The 23657-nt window shown below is 44.2% G+C and overlaps 1 protein-coding gene and 1 long non-coding RNA gene across 20 annotated transcripts in view, besides 4 other annotated features; one reads left to right on the forward strand and one right to left on the reverse strand.

The window, feature by feature from the left end:
* The window catches only part of UBE2R2-AS1 (UBE2R2 antisense RNA 1), a 94784-nt gene extending 76673 nt beyond the window's left edge, over positions 1-18111 (reverse strand). For 14 of the 15 annotated variants that reach the window (NR_170204.1, NR_170201.1, NR_170212.1 and 11 more), the window contains exon 1: positions 17870-18111. This is a non-coding gene — a long non-coding RNA (UBE2R2 antisense RNA 1). Of the gene's footprint in view, positions 1-15787; positions 15933-17869 lie in introns of those variants that run through there. The other variant, NR_170215.1, reaches the window with a different exon arrangement.
* The window catches only part of UBE2R2 (ubiquitin conjugating enzyme E2 R2), a 105232-nt gene continuing 95985 nt past the window's right edge, over positions 14411-23657 (forward strand). For 4 of the 5 annotated variants that reach the window (NM_017811.4, XM_011517949.2, XM_005251496.3 and 1 more), the window contains exon 1: positions 16403-17177. In NM_017811.4, coding sequence (NP_060281.2) covers positions 17001-17177 — 177 coding nt within the window. In that variant the 5' untranslated portion in view covers positions 16403-17000. Of the gene's footprint in view, positions 14524-16402; positions 17178-23657 lie in introns of those variants that run through there. The other variant, XM_047423541.1, reaches the window with a different exon arrangement.
* Positions 15913-16002: an enhancer, noted in NCBI's record as "active region_28302". NCBI's record gives its function as "activates an Ori minimal core promoter by ATAC-STARR-seq in GM12878 lymphoblastoid cells {active_cell/tissue: GM12878}" and the evidence as "EXISTENCE:reporter gene assay evidence [ECO:0000049][PMID:35858748]".
* Positions 16293-16392: a silencer, noted in NCBI's record as "silent region_19835". NCBI's record gives its function as "represses an Ori minimal core promoter by ATAC-STARR-seq in GM12878 lymphoblastoid cells {active_cell/tissue: GM12878}" and the evidence as "EXISTENCE:reporter gene assay evidence [ECO:0000049][PMID:35858748]".
* Positions 16573-16782: a silencer, noted in NCBI's record as "silent region_19836". NCBI's record gives its function as "represses an Ori minimal core promoter by ATAC-STARR-seq in GM12878 lymphoblastoid cells {active_cell/tissue: GM12878}" and the evidence as "EXISTENCE:reporter gene assay evidence [ECO:0000049][PMID:35858748]".
* Positions 16853-17022: a silencer, noted in NCBI's record as "silent region_19837". NCBI's record gives its function as "represses an Ori minimal core promoter by ATAC-STARR-seq in GM12878 lymphoblastoid cells {active_cell/tissue: GM12878}" and the evidence as "EXISTENCE:reporter gene assay evidence [ECO:0000049][PMID:35858748]".

Raw genomic sequence — 23657 nt, forward strand, 5'->3', positions numbered from 1 at the left:
GTTCACCTTACGGCCTTGGGTTTGTCTGCTTTTGGAGCTATATATCCAGTAGATAGATAGACAGACAAGACAGATACATTTTCTCCCTTTCTTACCATAATGTCAATGCCTCGTCTGAATCTCATCATCACTCAAGAGTCAAGAGAGGAACCAAATGCTTCATATAAACAGGGCTGGGCGGGGAGCGTTAGTTTTCACTGTTTTCTGTCTCCATTCAGATCATTCCTATCAAAGCCCAGCTGGTTATCTGAAGCCAAGAGACAGACATAAGGATCCCAATGGCCTTCCAGATGGCTGCTTCCACCTCCTACCTGGGCTACTCAAACTCTTTATACAGGAAAGTGAGTCACCCCACTCAGAAGGGTTGCCAGCAGAAACAGGGCATGAAAATCACAGATAACCATGGGATTTGTTCCAAGTGGTCAGTGTGAAATAAACCACCACCACCACCACCACCAAAAACACAAAACAAGCAAAAAAAAAAAAAAAAAAATTAAATTAAATTTAAAAAAAAAAAGGCTTTTTCAAAATCCAAGACAAAATACTGTGTGAGAGCCAGGCCATGGCATTGCCTTTTCTCAGGCCACACAGCTTTCCCAGTCCATTTGCTCACATGGAACTGTGAGACGTGAAGGTCTGCAGAGCGTGTGCTGGGGATGGAGGCTGGTACTGTTCACCTGTGGGTCCATGCCAAAGGGCAAAGAGGCAGAAAGCTACAACTCTGTCCACCACCACGGCTTAGGCCTCCTGCTCACAGAGGCTCTGAAGAGCCCCCACCTCAGCCTTCACACAAAATATCTCCTTCTGGCTCAACTACAGCCAGGCTGGAATGCCATGGCATGATCTCTGCTCACTATAACCTCCGCCTCCAGGGCTCAAGTGATTCAGCCTCCCAAGTAGCTGGGATTACAGGCGTGCACCACCGTGCCCAGCTAATTTTTTGTGTGTGTGTTTTTAGTAGAGACAGGGTTTCACCATGTTGGCAAGGCTGGTTTTGAACTCCTGACCTCAAGTGATGCAAAGTGCTGGGATTACAGGCATGAGCCACCGCTTCTGGCCCAGGCCCTATGTTTTAAAAAAATTATTTCAACTTTTATTTTAGATTCAGGGGGTACACGTGTAGGTTTGTTACACGGGTATATTGTGTGATGCTGAGGTTTGGGGCACAAATGATCTCGTCACTCAGGCAGTGAGCACAGTACCCAATAGGTAGTTTTTCAGCCCTTTCCACCCTCCTTCTCTCTTCCCTCTAGTAGTTGCAGTGTCTACTGTTCCCGTCTTACATCCATGTGTACCCAGTGCTCAGCTCCCACTTATACATGAGAATATGATATTTGGTTTTCCATTCCTATGTTAATTTGCTTAGGATTATGGTCTCCAGCTCCATCCATGTTGCTGCAAAGGACATGATTTCATTCTTTTCATGGCTGCATAGTATTCCATGGTGTATATGTACCACATTTCCTTTATCCAGTCTACCGCTGATGGCCACCTAGGTTCATTCCATGGCTTTGCTATTGTGAATACTGCTGTGATGGACATGCAAGAGCATGTGTATTTTTGGCAGAACAATTATTTTCCTTTGGGTAAATGCCCAGTAAAGGAATTGCTGGGTGGAATGGTAGTTCTGTTTTAAATTATTTCAGAAATCTCCAAACTGCTTTCTTTATAATTTTTCCATGAACTAATTTACACTCTGGCCAACAGTGTATAAGCATTCCCTTTCCTCTGCAGCCTCACCAGCATTTTCTATTTTTTGGACATTTTAATAATAGCCACTCTGCAAACAACCTCTTTCAAGGCCAATGTGTGGAAGAGCCACAAACATCCCTTTTCCCGAAGAGAATTCTTGCCTGCCCACGGGTAGAATTCTTGTTTTCATCTGTCTTTCGTTGTTTGCTTTTCAAAGAAAAACCAAAGGTAAAGTGGTATGATCTTCCACACCTGAACCAGTTTGTAGCCACCAGAGCCTGCTGGGAAGGGGCCCCTCAAGGATGCATTGATCTTGTCACCTGGAATTTGAGAGATCAAGAAGCCCCATAGCAACCTGCCATACAACTGCCCACCAGCGCTCATTCTTTCATGGATTAGCTCAATTCTGGCTCTGCAGACACTGGCAGCCACAGGTGATAAAACCCTGGGCCTCTGTGGCCTTTCCTCATCACCCAGGGCCACAGCGGGCTGCCTGTCCTAGGCAGAGACACAGCAACATTCTCTTAAACTGAAATTAGGCATAAATCCACTTCACCAACAATCATCTCAGGGCACAGTCCCTGCCTCCTTCCTTGGGGATTTTAAAACACACATCTCTGACCAAACAGGTAGGTGAGATCTGACTTTAAAGGGGGGAAAATCGGGATGAATTGTGGTATGAGGAATGAATCCCAAGTGTTTTTGTGTGGGGACAGGCATCCACATCCTGAACTGTACCTGGAGATGGAGAAAAATGCAGGAGAGGAGAAGAGAAACAAAGGGGGACAAAGTGGCTGAAAGTCATTGAAAGCTTCTCTCGTGGTTCTTTCTGGCTCTGGTTGCTTTGCCAAGGTCTTGGGTGCAGGCAGAGCCGACTCTGGCTGGGAGCTGCTGCTCTGGGAGATGGAAGAGTCACTTCACCTCCAGAAACCTCATTTGATCATCTGGAAAATGGGCAATTCCAAGGTGGTTGTGATGATAAAATGAAGAAAAAATTCTTAACTTATATGAGTTACAGGCTGTATACTAAGTTATGTGGTATATAGTAAGCACACAGAAATGATTCACTGTTATCATAATTGAAGGACAGTGGTTTGGTGTGCTAAGCAGTAAACACAAGACAGAAAGATGTCTTAGAGAAGCAGACAAAGAAATTTATAGTTCAGAATGAACAGTACCAAGAATGGCATGTCCTCCAAATTGAGCTTGGGCAGCTGGATCTGAACCTATCCTACACATCTGAGTCTACAGTATGAGGTAACAGTCTCCACCTATAGCTATCTTCTCTGCCTGTAAGGTCATTCCTGTTTGAAGAAAGCTGACCTCAGACTATATTGTGATCGTTTAAGGAAGAGCGCAAAATACTGGAGAAGGCTAGTCTTCAAGCTCTAGATACAGAAAATCCTCATGTTCTTGGGTATTCCCTTTCAGAAAGAGAGTCAGAGCCACAAGCACTGATCCAAAAATCCCCTTCTCCAAAAAAATTTTCCATCTTCTGCCAAGGTTCACCTCCCTATTTAGTGCACACCGGTGTCTACAGTTGCTACAGCAAGAGTCTCTCCTTATCCTCTAAGGCAGGAGTTCTGTGAAGACCCCATGACAAGGGGACAAAATGAAACAACATGTTTAGGGGCAACACAGGAAAAACCCATATTATCAATGCTCCAAAACCTGGCTACCTCAGGCTTGGCCAGTTATTTGTGAGCAGAGAGGTGTGTCGTCTACATGGCAGTCATGGCCTGGATGGGTCTGGAACTGTGGCAAGGGAAGTCTCTGAGACAAGGTGCCAGAAGAAAGATGAATTCAATCATCTATTTCGGCCAGGAAGAAAAGCAGGAGGAAGGAATCAGATGTACAGTTTGTCCTCTGGGGACCTCTGCCTTGATCCTCAATAAATCTCCTTTTAGATGTCACCTGCAGCAATTCCCACAGTTCACAGCGCTCTCCATGGCTTCCGTTGGCCTTGTGGTGAGCTCTGCCAAGATCTGTATTCTTGGGCAAGACAGAACCCTTCTGAATCTCAGTCTCTTCCTCTATAAATGGAAATAATTTTGCTCTGCACAAATCACAGTTAGTATGTTTGCCACCTCAGCCTGGTGACCCCAGGAGTTGAATTATGGATGTGTCTTGACATGGATGTGGGAGATTTATCCTGTTGGAATTCACTTAGCTCACTGAATTTGTAGGTTTATGTCTCTTGCCAAATCAAATTTGGAAAATTTTTGGTCATTATTTCTTCAAGTACTTATTTTGCCGTGTTCTCCTTCTCTTCTCCTTCTGGGACAACAGTGTTTTGAATGTTAGATCCTTTGTTGGTCCTACAGGTTCCTGACACTCTGTTCACTTTTTTTTTCCAGTCCACTTTCTCTCTGTTCTTCAGCTGGGGTAATTTGTATTGTTCTATCTTGAAGTTCACTAATTTATTTTCTCTATCCCTTCCATTCTGCTGTTGAGCCCATATGCTGAGGTTTATATTGTTATTTATATTATTATTTTTCGGTTCTCAATCTCTTCTTTGTATCTTCTCTTTCTTTGCAAGCATGTTTGTATTGCTTGTTGTAGGCTTTTTTTGTTTGTTTTTTTTGAGATGGAGTCTCACTCTGTCGCCCAGGCTGGAGTGCAGTGGCGTGATCTCAGCTCACTGCAACCTCCACCTCCCGGGTTCAAGTGATTCTCCTGCCTCAGCCTCCCAAGTAGCTGGGACTACAGGCGCATGCCATTACGCCTGGCTAATTTTTGTACTTTTAGTAGAGACAGGGTTTCGCCATGTTGGCCAGGCCAGTTTCGAACTCCTGACCTCAGATAATCCACCCCACTCGGCCTCCCAAAGTGCTGGGTTTACAGGCCTGAGCCACCGCACCCGGCCATTGGAGGCATTTTTATCATGACTGCTTTAAGACATCTATCAAATCATTTGAATTTCTTTGTCATCTTGGTGTTTGTATCTATTCATTATCTTTTTTAAAAATACTTTTTAACAGACTTTATTTACTAAAGCAGTTATATGTTCAAAGCAAAAATGAGCCCAAAGTACTGAGAGGTCCTATGTACCCTTCACCCTTTCCCCAAATGCGCAGCCTCCCCGACTGTCAACATCCTATATTAAAGTGTTACATTGGTTCCCATCAATGCACCTACACTGACACATCATTATGACCCAGAGTCCATAGTTGATATTAGTGTTCACGGTTGATGTTGCATATTCTGTAAGTCTGGACAAATATATAATGACATGTATCCACCATAATAGTATCATACAGAATTGTTTATTGACGCCCAAAATCCTCAGTGCTCCACCTGTTCATTCCTCACGCTCCCTAACTCCTGGCAATCACTGATCTTTTGACTGTTTACATAGCTTTGCCTCTTCGATAATGTGTAATTGGAATCATGCAGTATGTCACCTTTTCAGATTGGTTTTTTTTCACTTAGTAATATGCATCCCAAGTTCCTGTTTCGCAGCCAGGCACAGTGACTCAATGCTGTAATCCCAGCACTTTGGGAGGCTGAGGTGGGCATATGGCTTGAGCCCAGGAGGTTGAGGCCAGCCTGGACAACATGGCAAAACTCTGTCTCCACAAAAAAATAGCAAAAAAAAAAAAAAAAGTTTCTCCATGTCTCTTCATGGAGAGAGGGTCTCACTCTGTCACCCAGGCTGGAGTGCAGTGCCACCATCATAGCTCACTGCAACCTCAAACTCCTGGCCTCAAGCAATTCTCCCACCTCAGCTGCCTAAGTAGCTGGGACTACAGTGTGCACCACTACACCCAACTCTTTTTTTTTATTTAATTATTTTTTTTTTTGTAGAGATGAGGTCTGGCTATGTTGCCAGACTAGTCTCTAACTCCTGGCCTCAAGCCATCCTCCTGCCTCAGCCTCATTTCTTTTTAGTGCTGAATATCCCATTGTCTGTATGTACCACAGTTTATTTACTCATTCATCTACTGAAGGACATCTTAGTTGCTTCTAAGTTTTAGCACTTAATGAATAAAGCTGCTATAAGCATTTATGTTTAAGTCTTTGTGTGGACATAAGTTTTGAACTCATTTGGGACTTATTTTTAATAGATACAAAGTCTCAGCTTTGCAAGACGAAAAGAGTGTGAGGATGGGCGGTGGTAATGGTAACAGAGCAACATAAATGTCTAATACCACTAAACTGCATTCTTCGGTGTATTTTGCTGCAATTTTTAAAAAATAAAAAACATGGCCCTCATACAAAAATGTACCACCTCACTTTCTCAGTAAAATTATTTTAGCAAGGTTCTAGTGGTAACAGAAATCAAAACCTTAAAAACATGCATATTCTTCAAATCAGTAATTCCATTTCTAGAAATGTATTCTAGAAAATCTGGCAAGGGAATAATATTGTAAGGGGAATAATATTGTAAATACATTTGGCATGAATTTTTTCAAACAATGACAAGTGGAAAACCACCTCAATGTTTCAGAATAGGGGACTGATTAAATATCACTCTGCATATCACCACACAATTAGCTATTTACAATTATGATCTAGATGAAGAATTGAAACATGAAATTTTGTTCCAGTATTTTGTTTTGTCGAAAAAAGCAGATCACAAAACAGTGTGTGTGTGTGTGTGTGTGTGTGTGTGTGTAATGCTTTTCAAGTGATTAATCTAGACAATTATCTGACAAGCATCCAGAGATCATGTTAAAACTTTACGCAGATGAAGCTTGGGGAACCTGTCTTAACATTTTATTCCCACAAAAAACTACATCCACCATCTCTGAGTGCTCATTCTGGGCCAGGCCTTTTATGTATACAGCTCATTTAGTCCTCACAGCATCCCTTCATGGTAGACACTTTCATTATTTCTGTTGTGTAAATAATGACTCAGGAAAATTGAGTTCCAGGCCCAGGCTCACAGCCAGGCCTGGACTGGGCTTGGCTTACCTGGTAGGAGATGCAAGGGCTCAGGGTGATCTCCAGAGCAGGAGATACTACACAGATGTGGAAACCTACCGTCATTTCTCCAAAGGAAGGAATGCACGGTACAGGCCATGCTGTCTGACAGTGGGAGAGAAAGGAAAAAAAAGGAATGAGTCCCAACCCCCTTTTGTTTCTTTCTATGGCTCCCAGGAGCTTGTTTTCCACCAAGATTGTAGGATGTTGGTTTTCAAGGCTACCATGTAGCTGGGAGGACGTGATGAGCATAGAGCAAATAAGAACATTACAAAGCTCACTATTCTAACCAAAATTCAGCCTATGTTCTTGAATAAATGCTCCAAGATTAGAGCAAACCTTTAGATATTTTCCAGAGTTCTGAAAAACTTGCTTCTATTTTTCTGAGTTGCTTTTATGAAGATAGGAATTTTAGAAGGTTCCTAGCTTGCCATTTTTACTGACATCACTTCCAAATACACTTTTTATTTATTTATTTATTTATTTTTTTTGAGATAGAGTCTCGCTCTGTTGCCCAGGCTGGAGTGCAATGGCGTGGTCTCGGCTCACTGCAACCTCCGCCTCCCAAGTCCAAGCGACTCTCCTGCTTCAGTCTCCCTAGTAGCTGGGATTATAGGTCCATGCCACCATGCCCAGCTAACTTTTGTATTTTTAGTAGAGATGGGGTTTTGCCATGTTGGCCAGAAAAGTCTCAAACTCCTGAACTCAGGTGATCCTCCCGCATCAGCCTCCCAAAGTGCTGGGATTACAGGTGTGAGCCACTGTGCCTGACCCCAAATATACTTCTAAATACATTTCTGAACTCACAAAAATGTAGAGGAAGTACAAAATGATTACACACACACATGCACGCATGCATGCAAACAATCTAGAGGTGAAACTAAAGTCATCAGTCAACACAGAAGCCAGAGATGCCCTGGAAGTGTGCCAAAACCAAAAACCTAGAGCTTTGTTAGTTAATATTGCGGCTGCCTGAGGTAGCACATAGGAATTGGGGCAATCCATAGGAAAATAAAAATACTTTCTTTTTTAAAAAGCTGGGAATGAGATGTCAATAGGGGACACTGAAATGCTCTGACACATTCCTGGGAAGCTAGAATTTTTCTGGTTAACTGACTAACAGGATTTGAACCTGACAAAGCAGGAAACTGAATCTGAGACCTCCACATAAATCCAGGCACCAAAATGGGCTATATATTTAGTGGAAAAGACAAAGCTGGAAGGATATGACAAGTGAACCCATAAGCAAATCAGTCTCTGCAGGCGGTGGATTGTAAAACATTAATAATTTTAATAGTCTTCCCTAATATTTCTAACCAGCTTCACTTTTATGCTGGAATTTGAATTTACACCATACTCATAGTCCAAGAAAATTCAAACCAATAAATCTAACTAGAATGGTTCCTGATTGGTCCTGCTTCCAGAGCCAAGCAGAAACCAAGCAAATCATCTCAGTTTTGGTCTCTCAGGAAACCCAAAGTTAAAGTTTAGACAAATATGAGCGATTTATAAAATTTAACAAAGAGTTGAAGGGTCAAACTACCATAAGCAGGAGTCAACAGAAACCATAAAGAGAACAACAAGACATAGAAAAATACAAATATTAAAATTATAACAAACTTTATACTCAGGAAGTAGGTTTAAAAGCATGTTTAAAGTGAAAAGATAGAGATCAACACGATGACTATGGGGAGCATTAAAAGGGGCCATTGGTCCACTCTGGAACTTCAAAGTAGGTTTTCTGAAAAAGATGATGCTTGAGCTTAAGCTTGAAGGACAGTAAATAATTAGCCAGGAGGAAAAGTGGTGAGGGAGTTTCAGAGAAAAAGATCATAATGAACAAATACATGGAAGCACTGAATAGCAGAGGGACTTCAGGGGAAATTATAAACATTTACCTATTACTACAGTAACAAATGTAGAGCTGAGAGGAACAGGAGATGCCTGTCCATTACATGAAGAAGTACAGACATTATTTAATAGGAAATAGAGAGTCAAAAAAGGATTTTAAGAAGGGAAGTCTCATGATAATTATGTTTTAGGTAGTCTGTGTTTCAGTGGTGAGGGCAGAGGGGCAACACTAAGATGTCAGGGATCAGTTAGGAGGCTACTGCACAGCTTAGGTGAGAGATGTTGATGGTCTGAAAACCAGGGTGACAGTAAGAATTGAGAGGAGAGACAGGTTTGAGAAACAGCAGAAAAAATTAGCACAACTTGTGATGGACTAGCTATGTGGAAGATAGCCAAAGCAATCCTACACAAAAAGAATGAAGCTGATGGCGTCACACTATCCTACTTAAACCATCTACAAGGCTACAGTGAACAAAGCAGCATGGCCCTGGTATGAAAACAGACACACAGGCCAATGGAACAGGTCAGAGAACCCAGAAGTAAAGCTGCACAGCTACAACCATCTGATCTTCAACAAAGCCAACAAAAACAAGCAATGGAGAAAGGACTCCCTACTCAACAAATGGTGTTGGGATAACTGACTAGCCATATGCAAAAGATTGAAACTGGACCCCTTGCTTTCACCACAAACAAAAAGCAACCCATGATGGATAAAAGACAAGTGTAAAACCTAAAATTATAAACTATCTGGAAAAGGGTGGGCGTGGTGGCTCATGCGTGTAATCCCAGCACTTTGGGAGGCCCAGGCAGGTGGATCATGAGGTCAGGAGTTCAAGACCAGCCTGGCCAACATGGTGAAACCCCGTCTCTACTAAAAATATAAAAATTAGCTGGGCATGGTAGTGCACATCTGTAATCCCAGCTACTGGGGAGGCTGAGGCAAGAGAATCGCTTGAACCCAGGAGGTGGATGTTGCAGTGAGCCCTGATCATGCCACTGCACTCCAGCCTGGGCAGCAGAGGAGGACTCTGTCTCAAAAGAAAAAAAAAACCTATAAAATCCTAGGAAATACCTTTCTGACACAGGACCTTGGAAAGATTTCATGATGAAGGTGCCAAAAGCGATTGCAACAAAATCAAAAACAGATTAGTGGAACCCAATTAAACTAAAGAGATTCTGCATAGCAAAAGAAATTACCAACAGACTAAACAGACAGCCTACAGAATGGGAAAAAATGCTTGAAAATTATGCATCTGACAAAGGTCTAATATCCAGAATCTATAAGGAACTTAAACAAATGTACAAGCAAAAAACAACCTCATTTAAAAAGACAAAGGGCAAAGGATATGAACAGACACTTCTCAAAAGAAGATATACACACAGCTAACAAACATGAAAAAATGCTCAACATCACTAATTACTAGAGAAATGCAAATGAAAGCTACAATGAGATACCATTTCATACCAGTCAGAATGACTATTATTAAAAATCCAAAAAATAGATGCTGGCTAAGTTGCAGGGGAAAGGGAATGCTTATACACTACTGATAGGTAAGTAAATTAGTTCCGCCATTATAAAAAGCAGTTTGGTGATTTCTCAAAGAACTTGAGAATTACCCTGAGACTCAGTAATACTATTACTAAGTATATACCAAAGGAATATAAATCATTCTACCATAAAGACACATGCACACATATGTTCATCACAGTACTATTCACAATTGCAAAGACACAGAATTAACCTAAGTGCCCATCAATGGTGAACTGAATAAAAAAATGTGGCATACATATACCATGGAATACTATGCACCCATAAAAAAAACTATCATGTCCTTTGCAGCAACACAGATGGAGCTGGAGGCCATCCAACTCTAAGTTAAAAAATATTCTAAGGAAACTGGCCAGCTGTAACACTCACCGCGAAGGTCCGCAGCTTCACTCCTGAAGTCAGCGAGACCACGAACCCACCAGAAGGAAGAAACTCTGGACACATCTGAATATCTGAAGGAACAAACTCCGGACACACCATCTTTAAGAACTGTAACACTCACCGTGAGGGTCCACGGCTTCCTTCTAGAAGTCAGCGAGACCAAGAACCCACCAATTCCGGACACACTTGTACTCCTGGCTACTCAGGAGTCCGAGGTGGGAAGATCACTTCGGCCCCGGAGGTTGAGGCTACAGTGAGTCATGATCACACCACTGCCCTCCAGGCTGGGCAACAGAGCAAGACCCGGTGTCAAAAAATAAATAACACTTTGGGAGGCCAAGGTGGGTGGATCACGAGGTCAGGAGTTCAGGAGTTCGAGACCAGCTTGACCAACAGGGTGGAACCCCATCTCTACTAAAAAAAATACAAAAAAATTAGCTGGATGTGGTGGGGCATGCCTGTAATCCCAGCTACTCAGAGGGCTGAGGCAGGAGAATCACTGGAACCTGGGAGGTGGAGCTTGCAGTGAGCTGAGATCATGCCACTGCACTCCAGCCTGGGCAACAGAGCGAGACTCCATCTCAATAAATAAATAAATAAAAGTAGACATTACAGCTGACACCACAGAAATACAAAAAATCATCAGACACTATTATGAACAACTATATTAATAAACTAGAAAACTTAGAGGAAATGGATAAATTCCTTTACACATACAACCGACCATGATTGAATCAGGAATAAACAGAAAACCAGAACAGACCAATCATGAGTAATGAAATTGAATCCATAATAAAAAGTATCTCCACAGTGAAAAGCCCAGGACCCAATGGCTTCACTGCTAATGACTTTAATACCAAATTCTACCAAACTAACAAAGACAAACTAACACCAATTCTCCTCAAACTATTCCAAAAAATTGAAAAGGAGGGAATTCTTCCTCATTCTACTAGGCTAGCAGTACCCTGATAGCAAAACCAGGTAAGACTGCAACAACAACAAAAAAAGATAGCTACACTCTAATATCCCTGATAAACACAGATGTAAAAATTTTCAACAAATACTAACCAACTGAATCCAACTGCACATCAAAAAGATAACATGCCAGGATCAAGTGGGATTTGTCCCAAAAATGCAGAGGTAGTTCAACATACACAAATCAACAAAGACGACACATCACATCAACAGAAAGAAGGACAAAAACCATAAGGTCATTTCAAGAGATGTAGAAAAAGCATTTGATACAATTCAAAATCTCTTCATGATAAAAACTCTCAAACTAGGCATTGAAGGAGTGTATAATACCTCAACATAATAAAGCCTACATATGACAAACCCACAGTTAACATCATACTATCATAGCTTTCAGCTTTTCCTCTAGGAACTGGAACAAGACAAGGATGTCTATTTTCGCCACTCATATTCAACACAGTACTGGAAGTCTTAGCCAGAGCAATCAGGCAATAGAAACAAGCAAAAGATATCCAAATTGGAAAAGAGAAAGTAAAATTGTCCCTCTATGCAGATGACATGATCTTGTATTTACAAAAACCTAACAACTCCAGCAAAAGCTCTTAGATCTGATAAATAAGTTCAGTACAGTTGTAGGATATGGCCAGGCATGGTGGCTCACGCCTGTAATCCCAGCATTTAGGGAGGCCAAGACGGGAGGATCACCTAAGGTCAGGAGTTCAAGACCAGCCTGACCAATACAGTGAAACCCCATCTCAACTAAAAACACAAAAATTAGCCGGGCATGGTGGCATGTGCTTGTAGTCCCAGCTACTCAGGGGGCTGAGACAGGACAAGCGCTTGAACCCAGCAGGCAGAGGTTGCAGTGATCCAAGATTGCTCCACTGCACTCCAGCCTGGGCTGCAGAGCAAGACTCTGTCTCAAAAAAAAAAAAAAAAAGTTGTGGGATAAAAAAATCAACATACAAAAATTAGTAGCATTTCTATACACCAGTAATAACTAGCCGAGAAAGAATTCAAGAAGGAAATCCCATTTATAATAGCTACAAGAAAATAAAATACTTAGGAAAAAAATTTAACCATGTTGAAAAAAGTTTCACCATGTTGGCGAGGCTGATCTCGAACTCCTGACCTCAAATGATCTGCCTGCCTCAGCCTCCCAAAGTGCTGGGATTACAGGCATGAGCCGCTGCGCCTGGCCAACTTTTTGAAATTTAATATGTTAACATATATGTAAAACTTGGACACTACTCTTAAGGAGCCACAGTCTTCCTCTAAAATTAGTAGTGGGCCTGCCATGGTGGCTCACACCTGTAATCTCAGCACTTTGAGAGTTTGAGGTGGGCGGATTGCTTGAGCTCAGGAGTTCAAGACCAGCCTGGGCAACATAATGAAACCTTGTCTCTACTAAAAATACAAAAATTAGTCCGGTGTGGTGGCACTGCGCCTGTAGTCCCAGCTACTCCGGGGACTGAGGTGGGAGGATTGCTGGAACCCAGGAGGCGGAGGTTGCAGCGAGCCAAAATCATGCTACTGCACTCCAGCCTGGGTGACAGAGCAAGACTCTGTCTCAGTTAAAAAAAAAAAAAAAAAAAAAAGAAGAGGAAGAAGAAGAAGTACCCTGGTTGGAAAGTACCAGGTGATGCCTGACACTGAGCGTTAAGCGCTCTGTTTTCTTTTTAAAAAAAAATATTATTTTTTAAATTTAAATTTTGAGTGCTGTTTTTCTTTACCACCAGAGGGCACCAATCAGGCAAGTCAATCTACATGCCATTATGAAACAATATGAGAAAGCTCTAGGAAGCTGTTTCTAGCATTCATTCTTTTTAACAAATATGTTTTGAGCACTTAATATGTGCCAAACATTGGAGTAGCTGGTGTAGAGTTTTGGAATTTATAGTCTTGAGCACCTACTATGTGCTTGAGAGAACAGATAGGCATGGGGATAGAGGGTAGGGTTCAATTTGTGATTTTGTGATTACTCATTGTCTTCCTGTCCTTGGCCATGAGTCTCTTGAGAACAATTACTTAGTGTCTACTTTGTGTCAGATGGTGTGCCTGTTGCTGAGGATTCAGGCATGAATAAGACACAGTGGCAGTCTACTAATAAACAATGTCTTACTGGCTAGAATAAAAACACATGAGCTAGTTCTGTGGAATTCCAGTTCCTGTGACCTGAGAATAAACAGCCTTGATTATAAAACTCATTAACGCATTGAGCTTCCAACCTCCCAGCATAGAGGCATGCCCGCAGTGGATGCTTAGTGAGTTTGTGAGTTGACATGAGCCCAGGGGGCCGCTTCTGGTCTGAGTGCCAGGTATACGTTCCAGTGGGTTAGACTAGGGCTTCATCACCCTCCAGGTCAGGGTGGGGCTGTGATGAGTTTTTGTGGGTGAAATGCTTTGAAGATGACCTTTCTACCTATTTATCTGCTCACCGCCTTGCTATTAAAGGTGTCAACATCATCTTTCACATTTCCGGGTCAGCAATCCTCTTGTCCCTAAATTGACTGGTACTGGAGGGAAAGACAGAATGGGACATAAACCATCATTTTGATAAGAGGGGCTGCATTCACTAGGATACTCCCTCTTCTCTGAGGGGAGCTCTAATTCCAGTAGAGTTCGGTCTCAAGACCTGGACAGTAGCGTTGGCGGCTAGAAAAGGATGTTTTAAAACACTGAGACCTCGTCTTTTACAGGAAAAAAAAGGCCAAAAAAAAAGGAGGGGGGGCTGCTTAAGTGTGGATTGTGTAGAGTGACTCCATTCCAAAGAGTACAGTATAGAAAAGGGGAGGAAGGGGCAGAGTAACTTTACAGTAGAAAGACTTGACACACTTCCTCAGCCAGACAATCAAGGTCAACATCAACATTGCTAAGTCATGTTGCTATTTGTGCCCTTAATATGATGTGATGAAATGGCATTTCACCTCTGTGATCTTACCCTCAAAAACTCATAATCCCAGTCTAATCATGAGAAAAGCATCACAATCCCAATTGAGGGACAGTCTACAAAATACTTGACCAGTATTCTTCAAAACTGTTAAGGTCATCAGAACAAAGTCTAAGAAACTGCCACAGTCAAGAGGAATCTACAGAAACAGGAAAACTGAATGTAGTCTGGTATCCTGGATGAGATCCTGGAACAGCAAAAGGTCAGTAGGTAAAAATTAGGGAAGTATGAGCTTCAGTCAACAGTGATGTATCAATATTAGCTCATTAATTGTAATACATGTACTCTACTAATGTAATATGTTAATAAAAGGGGGAACTGGGCGCCAGGTGTAGGGGAACTTGACTATCTTTTCAATTTTTCTATAAATCTAAAACTGTCCTTGGCTGGGCACAGTGGCTCACGCCAGTAATCCCAGCACTTTGGGAGGCTGAGGTGGACGGATCACCTGAGGTCAAGGGTTGGAGACCAGCCTCGCCAACATGGTGAAATCCCGTCTCTACTAAAAATACAAAAATTAGCTGGGCATGGCTGTGCACACCTGTGGTCCTGCTACTTGGGAGACTGAGGTTAGAGGATGGCTTAAGCCCAGGAGGTTACTGCTAGAGTGAGCTATAATCACTCTACTGTACTCCAGCCTGGGCAACAGAGTAAGACCCTGTCTCAATAAAAGGGGTGGGTAGTGGTGGTATCCAGAATACAGCTATGCCTTAAAGTTTTTTTCTTTCAAGTTTCTATGAATCATTAACCATGTGCCAGTCACTACGCTAAATGCTGTACATACATTTAATCATTACAATTGCTTGTGTTGGGTATAATTAATCCCCTTTTACAGAAGCTGATTAAACAGCCGGGTGTGGAGGCATGCACCTGTAGTCCTAGCTACTTGGGAGGCTGAGGTGGGAGAATCGCTTGAACCTGGGAGGCGGAGGTTGCAGTGGGCCATGATCGCGCCACTGTGCTACAGCCTGGGTGACAGAGCAAGACCCTGTCTCAAACAAAACAAAACCAAAAAACAAAAAACTGATGATACAGGGAGAAGTAATGGAACTAGGGTTGGAACCAAGATCTGTCTAGTTCCGAAACTGTGTGTGTAGAACTCTCACAATATTCTGGCTTTTCTAGGAAATGTTTTTTAGGCAGTTATCCTAGGACATGCCTTCCTAGGAGAAAGGAGTACTGTATTCTGAACCACGGGGGGACCAAAGACTGTCCCCACATCTCACTTCGGTTATGATTATCTCGAAAGTCCCTCAGTTCCAGGGTGGACATTCAAGCCACAAGCACCTATAGGGAACTTTGACCCCTAAGTTCAACCACAGTAGTTTATTTTACAAATGGCGAAGGCGAAGGGCAGCCTGAGCACTTGCCCCAAATCACAATGAGAAGGGCTAGAGACCCAGTTTGTTATTGTCTTTTTCCTCACAACTTCCTCTTTGTAGTTAAGAAGGGAAGCAGAAGCTGACCTTTTTGTCTCACCCCGTTTCTCACGTGGAACTGCCGCACCCAGGGTGAGTAACGTGCCAAAGGGCACACTTGCCTGTGGGCTGGCCTGCGGGAAGGTCTGTTCCCACCGAAAAGACCCACATTGTCAGCACATCCTAATCAAGTAGCTACTAAGTGGAGGGACCGCAGACTGGGTGTCACGGGGAGGGGCCTGCAGCGACCAGGCCCGTCCCAGGATGGCTGCGGAGGCCCCTGGATCCACAGTGGGGAGGGCCCCGAGAGCCGGGAGACCTGGGTTCCCTTCCCGGGCACGCCTTTGGAACTGCGGCGTCCAGCCGCACAACCGTCACTCTGGGGCCACGGCAATCCCTGCGCCCGCCCTTGGTCCCCGCTGCTTCTGGGATCTTTATGGGCGGGGGACACGCGCCAGCGTCACAAAGCGCCGCGACCGCGCGGGAGACCGAGAGGAGGCGTGGAAACGGGAGGAGGAGGAGGTGGTAGTGGAGGAGAGCCAGGCACGGTGGGGGGAGGGGAGGGAGGGGCACGCGCACGCGCGTCGGGCCGCCAGCCGCTGAGAGCCGCCCAGCACCCGGCGTGCGCCCCTCCTCCCTCTCTCCCTCCCTCCCTCCCTCCCTGCTTCTCGGCTCCGTTGCTCCCGCGGCGCGAGGCGCTCTCGCTCTCCTCCTCCTCCGCCGTCGCCCCTCCCCCCGCGCAGCCCCCGCCGCCACCGCCGCGAGACCCCCGCACGCCGCTCTCCCCCCACCCTCTCCTGCCCCGCGCGCCCTCCGGCCCCTGCGGCCCCCGAAGAGAACGAGAGGGCGAGCGAGCGCGGCGTTCCCGGGCCGGCCCGGCCCCCTCCCTTCACCATCGCCGGCCCTCCGCCGCCTTCCTCCGCTTCCACCTCCTCTCCCCCCCCCCAAGTTGAGGCCCCCTCCGGGGGGGGGAGGCCCGGGACCGGGACCCGTAGCGAATTCTCCTAACTCCCTCGACCTCTCCTCTCGCCCGGCCCGAGTGTGAGGAGAAGGGCCCGGCCCGGCCTGCGTCGTGTGTGAGGAGGACCCCGGGCGGGCCCACGGGCCGTGTGGGGCCTGGTCTGGCCCGCCGGGTGTGTGAAGACCGGGGCCCGGTGCTGCCCGGCCGGAGGGCGAGCGGAGGGGAGGGGCCTGGTCCGGCCCGGCCGGTGCGTGAGGACTGGGGCCCGGGCCCGGCGCCGCCGCCGCCGCCGCCGCCGCGATGGCCCAGCAGCAGATGACCAGCTCGCAGAAGGCCCTGATGCTCGAGCTGAAATCCCTGCAGGAGGAACCGGTGGAGGGCTTCCGGATCACCCTGGTGGACGAGTCCGACCTCTACAACTGGGAGGTGGCCATCTTCGGACCCCCCAACACCCTCTACGAAGGCGGCTACTTCAAGGTACCCTCACCCTCCTCCCGGACCCTGCTTCCGCGGCCGAGGCCTCCGGCTCCCCGCCGCTTTCTGCAGTTCCTGGGACCAGGAGTATGAGCACGGGCGAGTGGAGGGGGCTTCTCACCCGTGCAGCCCCCTCCCCCATCCCTGGAGGCAGGAAGGCCTTGCTCGCCGAGTGCCTTTTCTTTGTCATGGGGGCGGGGGCTCGGGCGGGGGCGGGAGGGCAGGCTGCACCGGGAAATCGGAGAGCCTCTCTGGTTAGGGTAGTGTCTACGGGCGGAGGAGGCCGCCTTTGTTTCCCCCGCTGAGGGTGGGTGGAAAGAGCGGTGGTCTATCTGTGCTTTTTCGTTCTCCGGTCGGAACCCCTCCCTGCGCAGGCTGGAACTGCCCCAGAGGGCAGGGTGACCTGCACCGACTGGATTGGACTTTTCTTTTTTGGGGGGTGGGGGTGGGGGTGGGGTGGGGGAGGGGCACCAGCTTGTCATTTCAGAAGCTGCCGAGTGCCCTGACATTTTGAGGATTTGTTGGGCATCTTGGGTAGTGGTAGTGCCAACTTTGCATTCCAATGGGTGGTGGTGAAGAATGGGACCCTAGGGGTGGTAAAAAAAAAAAAAAAAAAAAAAAGGGTGCCCGCGTCGTCTTGTCATTATCCATTTGGGGGAACTTTAACCCTCTTTCCGTTCACATTCTCTGCTTACCTCAGTCACTGGTTCTTTCAAAATGCCCTTTGTCCTCACCATGCCACCAAGTTTGCCAACCTTTTTTTCTACAGGTAGAAGTATCCACAAAGGGTGGAACGAGTCATGTAGGGAGACTGATAGCTTCCTACTTTCAGAGACAAAATTGAAACCTGCTCAAGTGGTTAACTCTAGCTAAAGGGGTGGTCTCACAGATGACAAGTATCATCTGAGGCGAGATCGTTTCTCTGGGTGGGATGTATGGTTCCTTAGCGACCACAGACATTGTTTCTGTTGTTTTATATGGTCTTAGAACAGTGGTTATCATTCCAGAATCTAATGATTTTTTTTTAACTCCAAGGTAGTTAACTTGGAGATAATGAGTGTTTGTTTTGTTTTGTTTTTACTTGAGTGTTTTTGCAGGGAGGAATCACAGATTGAAAGTCTGAATATTTTAAATGATGGGGGCAGAGAGAGGAAATGAGTGCTTAGGAATCCATTTAGTTTTATTTTTTTATTTTCAAAATTAAGTAAAATAGGCCAGTGAGTCAATTTTAGTTTGGAAGGGAGGGGTTATCTTGGCACAAGTTTTAAATGAGTATCTTAGTCATGTAGTTGTGATGTGTATTTTTAGGACTACCCAATTACTTAACTCTTGTTTTCTACCCTTCTAAAGGTGGAAACCTCAGTTTTATGCTTGAAATTAGGTCAACTTTGTAGGAAATGGGATTGATACAGGAATGTTTAATATTCACTACTGTATATAGTCACTGAGTACCTAGGAAAAGCACGTTTTTAGAATATTATGTAAGTGCGGTACCCCTACCAACTGTTAGGCTTCATCTTTTGTGGTCAGCCTACCCTATACTTTTCAGATGGAGGTATTTAAAATTACTAAGAAAACATGCAACTTATTAGTAACAAAGTGGAAAAGATATTGCTGTGTTTATGATGAAGCATATTCTCTGTTGTCAAATATAAATTTTTATGCATACTGGAAAAATTAGTTGTACAAAATTGAATGTATGTGATACCTTTCTTTTTTTTTTTTGAGACGGAGTCTCGCTCTGTCACCCTGGCTGGAGTGCAGTGGCGCGATCTCGCCTCACTGCAACCTCCGCCTCCCAGATTCAAGCTATTCTCCTGCCTCAGCCTCCCAAGCTGCTGGGACTACAGGCGCACGCCACCACGCCCAGCTAATTTTTGTATTTTTAGTAGAGATGGGGTTTCACCATATTGGCCAGGCCGGTCTCGAACTCCAGACCCTGTGATCAACCCGCCTCTGCCTCCCAAAGTGCTGGGATTACAGGCGTGAGCCACTGCGCCCGGCCATGATGCCTTTTCTGACAAAACATTGTTTAGCAAAATCTGCTGGCTAATGTTAGTGGAATAAAGTTTGATTTCCAAAAAGTGTCATTGTTTGGTACAACCGATATTTAAAATAAATAAATGGGTACTAGTTAGAATAATCTCACTCCAATAAAGTTAAAAACAAGAGCAAACAAAACAAAACAAAACAAAACTTGTACATGAGAGAAAATAATGGGTTGCAAGTTGTAATATTTGTGCATAAGTCTGGGAAAGGAGTGTGGAGAACCCTCTCTGAAATAGGAAGTATGGAAGGATTCCTTGTGTTAATACACTGATTTAAATTAAATGCTTCTGAACTTCAGTCCTTGTTTAAAAGAATGATTTAATCTCGTGCTTTGTGATGTTAGATTTCTTAAGCTTTGAGTGTTTTTACCTTTAATTCTGACATGTATGAAAATTTGTAAACAGGTTTTATGGTTTAGTCTTGTGTGAGAAGTTTGTTCGATTGTATTTTCGACTACTTTTTCCCTTATATGGCCTTTTATCCCATTAGTTGTTCATTAGAAAAAGGCAAATTTATGGTCATGAGCAGTTGACACTGGGGATATGTTTAAAACCATTGTTTTTATTTTACTGCTTTTGTCTTAAGACAAGGCTTTTAGTGTATTTCACTACAGCTGCAGTTGAAAGTTGGCACAAAGCTTTCCCTACCATATCACTCTTCTCCCTTATTAAATGTTAGTCCTTGAACATTTAGTATAATTTATTTTCAAGTTAAACTCTTTTCCCTTTTTGGCATAGTCATTCGTGAAGGCAGTGGGACTGCCAGTCATTCTTTACATTTTTCATACTGTAATTCCTTTAACTTTTATATATTAATAGGTTTCTAACTGATCTTTTTCACCCTGAAATAGTTGGCTCTTGTCTCTTACCCACAGGATCTGCATTGGAGATTTGTGAGACCTGTATTTCACAGAATTTTTTTATTCATCCTGCTTTCGCTTATTTAATATCGCCAATCCACGTGATTCTTAGTTTTGGGCCATATAGATGTAGGATGGGCAAAGATAGTTTCTTCTGTCCATTCTGAATACTATACAATCTTTTTTGGCCTTACTATCTTTTTGTGTAGTTTCTTATTTTGCTACCTAAGCAAGTCGGAATTTTATTGTTACTAGAAAAATAAATTGTGGATCAAGTCAGTAGCTAATGAAGACTTTTAACAAGTTCACCCCCTTTCTTTTGAAAGGAACTTTTTCAGGGTCTTTCTCTGTCACTTAGTTTGGGGTACAGTGGTGTGATCATGGCTCACTGCAGCTTCCACATCCTAGGCTCAAGCAGTCCTCCCACCTCAGCCCCCTGAGTAGCTGGGACTACAGGCATGACTACGCCCGGCTAATTTTTTTTTCTTCAGTATTGTTAAGTGAGGTAGGGTCTCACTATTTTGTCCAGGCTGGTCTCAAACTCCTGGGTTCAAAGGATCCTCCTTTCTCAGCCACCCAAAGTGCTGGTTTTACAGGCGTCAGCCACCATGCCCGGCTGGAACTATCTTTTCAAATAACTCCTGCTAAGGATTGTAGCTTAGTGTGGGTGCTTTAGTACTGAACCTCCTTGGAACTTTTGCATTATTTATCTAAAGCATTATAGCAGTGAGTCTAGAGCCAGAAAGAGTGCCTCTTTTATGATATGCATAACAAAAAAAAATTTTTTTTTTTTTTGAGATGGAGTCTCACTCTTTTGCCAGGCTGGAGTGCAGTGGCACGATCTCAGCTCACTGCAACCTCTGCCTCCTGGGTTCAAGCGATTCTCTTGCCTCAGCCTCCCGAGTAGCTGGGATTACCGGCGTGCGCCATGAAACCTGGCTAATTCTTTTTGTATTTTTAGTAGAGACAGGGTTTCACCATGTTGGCCAGGCTGGTCTTGAACCCCTGACCTTAAGTGATCTGCCCATCTCAGCCTCCCAAAATGTAATCCTAATTAGAGGCCTGAGCCACCACTCCTGGCCAACCTTTTATAGTTTTGATTTTATTAAATAATTTGATTGAGGTAATGAAATATAGATGTGTTCCATTTTTAGAAAACTCCAGTCTGATAATTTAGAAAGTATTTGTTGTATACTTAAAGTTTTCCTTATTAGGAACATCTTTATTAGACTCAACACTGACATATATATATATATATTTTTTTTTTTTGAGACTGAGTTTTGCTCTTATTGCCCAGGCTGGAGTGCAGTGGAGCGATCTCGGCTCACTGCAACCTCCGCCTCCTGGGTTCAAGCGATTCTTCTGCCTCAGCCTCCTGAGTAGCTGGGATTACAGGCATGCGCCACCATGCCCAGCTAATTCTGTATTTTTGGTAGAGACGAGGTTTCTCCATGTTGGTTAGGCTGGTCTCAAACTCCTGACCTCAGGTGATCCCGCTCACCTCAGCCTCCCAAAGTGCTGGGATTACAGGCCTGAGCCACCACACCTGGCCTACACTGACTTACATTAAAGAAACTCTTCAAAACCTTTTTTTTTTTTTTTTAAGAGATAGGGTCTCACTTTGTTGCCCAGGCTGGAGTGCAGTGGTGTGATCATAGCTCACTGCAGCCTGAAACACTTGGGCTCAAGGGATCCTCTTGCCTCACCCTCCTGAGTAGCTGGGACTGCAGGTGCATACCACACTCGTTTTAATTTAAAAAAAAAATTGTTTATGCAGAAAGGGTCTCATAGGCCAGGCTGGTCTCGAACTCCTGGCTTCAAACAATCCTCCCACCTTGGCCTCCCAAAGTGCTGGTGTTACAGATGTGAGCTACCACACCCAGCCAAATAATTTTTTTTTTAATAAGAGAATATGCATTATTTCCTATGCTTCATTTGTTTTGCAATGAATGAATCTATTTTCTGCCTTCCCTCTTCCCCCTAAAAAAACAAACCAGACTTAGCCTAGATCTGGCAATGTCATTTAGATATTTTATTTCTTTTTTTTCTTTTTCTTCTTCTTATTAATTTTTTTTTTTTTTTTTTAGCTGAGTCTCGCTCTGTTGCTCAGGCTGGACTGCAGTGGTGTGATTTCGGCTCACTGCAACCTTTACCTCCTGTGTTCAAGCAGTTCTCGTGCCTCAGCCTCCCAAGTAGCTGGGATTACAGGCGTGCACCACCATGCCTGGCTAATTTTTGTAATTTTTAGTAGAGATGGGGTTTTGCCATGTTGGCCAGGCTGGTCTTGAACTCCTGGCCTCAAGTGATCTGCCCACCTTGGCCTCCCAAAGTGCTGGGATTACAGATGTGAGCCAGTGTGCCCAGCCTATTATTATTATTTTAGAGACAGAGTCTCGCTATGTTGTCCAGGCTTGTCTTGAACTCCTGGGCTCAAGTAATCCTCCCGCCTCAGCCTCCCAAAGCACTGCGATTATAGGTCTGAACCATTGCACCCAGCCTATTTTATGACTCTTTAATTGGTAAAATATAGTTGAAAAAAAATTTTTTTTTTTCCTAGATGGAGTCTTGCTCTGTTGCGCAGGCTGAAGTGCAGTGGCGCGATCTTGGCTCACTGCAACCTCTGCCTCCCGGGTTCAAGCAGTTCTCCTGCCTTAGCCTCCCAAGTAGCTGGGATTACAGGTGCGTGCCAGCACGCCCGGTTAATTTTTGTATTTTTAGTGGAAACGGGGTTTCACCATGTTGTCCAGGCTGGTCTCAAACTCCTGACCTCAGATGATCTACCCGCCTTGGCCTCCCAAAGTGCTGGGATTACAGGCATGAGCCACCGCGCCTGGCTGAAAAAATTTTTTTAGGAAAATGATTGTTTGCCTTTTTGAGACAGGGATTCTTTTGAGAAATTGAAGAATTTTCTCAGAGAAAATGGGTACACGTAAACTAATTTTATGTATCTTTTTCAGAGGGTTTACTGCCGATGAGCTAAGAATCCTCTTGTAAGGTATTTGGATAGGCAACTTAAAGACAATTTTAAACAGCTCCTTTAAAATTATAAAACGAATGCTCTTTTATTCCCCCATTTCTCTCAGTTAACTTTGAAACTACCTCTTAGGGCATTTAGCTGTCTCTTTCTGGAAGATGAAGTTGTCTTGAGTACTGGGTGAACTAAGGTAACGTTATAAATGGAAACACAGTTAAGGTCTAAGGGTTTTGGAAACTAAATGAAGTTTCACTTTTTGTTGTTTCTCAGAACATTTTTCAAACCAAATATGATGCCTTAGTTTTTCATAGAATATGCTTTTATCCTGTTTAGTTGATTACAAGATGCATATTTTTCTACCTTTTAACTTCTTTTTGATTAAGAAATTTCTTAGATGGCCAGGTGTGGTGGCTCATTCCTGTAATCCCAGGACTTTGGGAGGCCGAGGCGGGTGGATCACCTGATGTCAGGAGTTCAAGACCAGCCTGGCCAACATGGTGAAACCCGGTCTCCACTAAAAATACACAAATTAGCTGGTGTGGGCCGGGCGCGGTAGCTCATGCCTGTAATCCTAGCACTTTGGGAGGCCGAGGCGGGCGGA

Source organism: Homo sapiens, chromosome 9 (genome assembly GCF_000001405.40).
Source record: "Homo sapiens chromosome 9, GRCh38.p14 Primary Assembly".
NCBI lineage: Eukaryota > Metazoa > Chordata > Mammalia > Primates > Hominidae > Homo > Homo sapiens.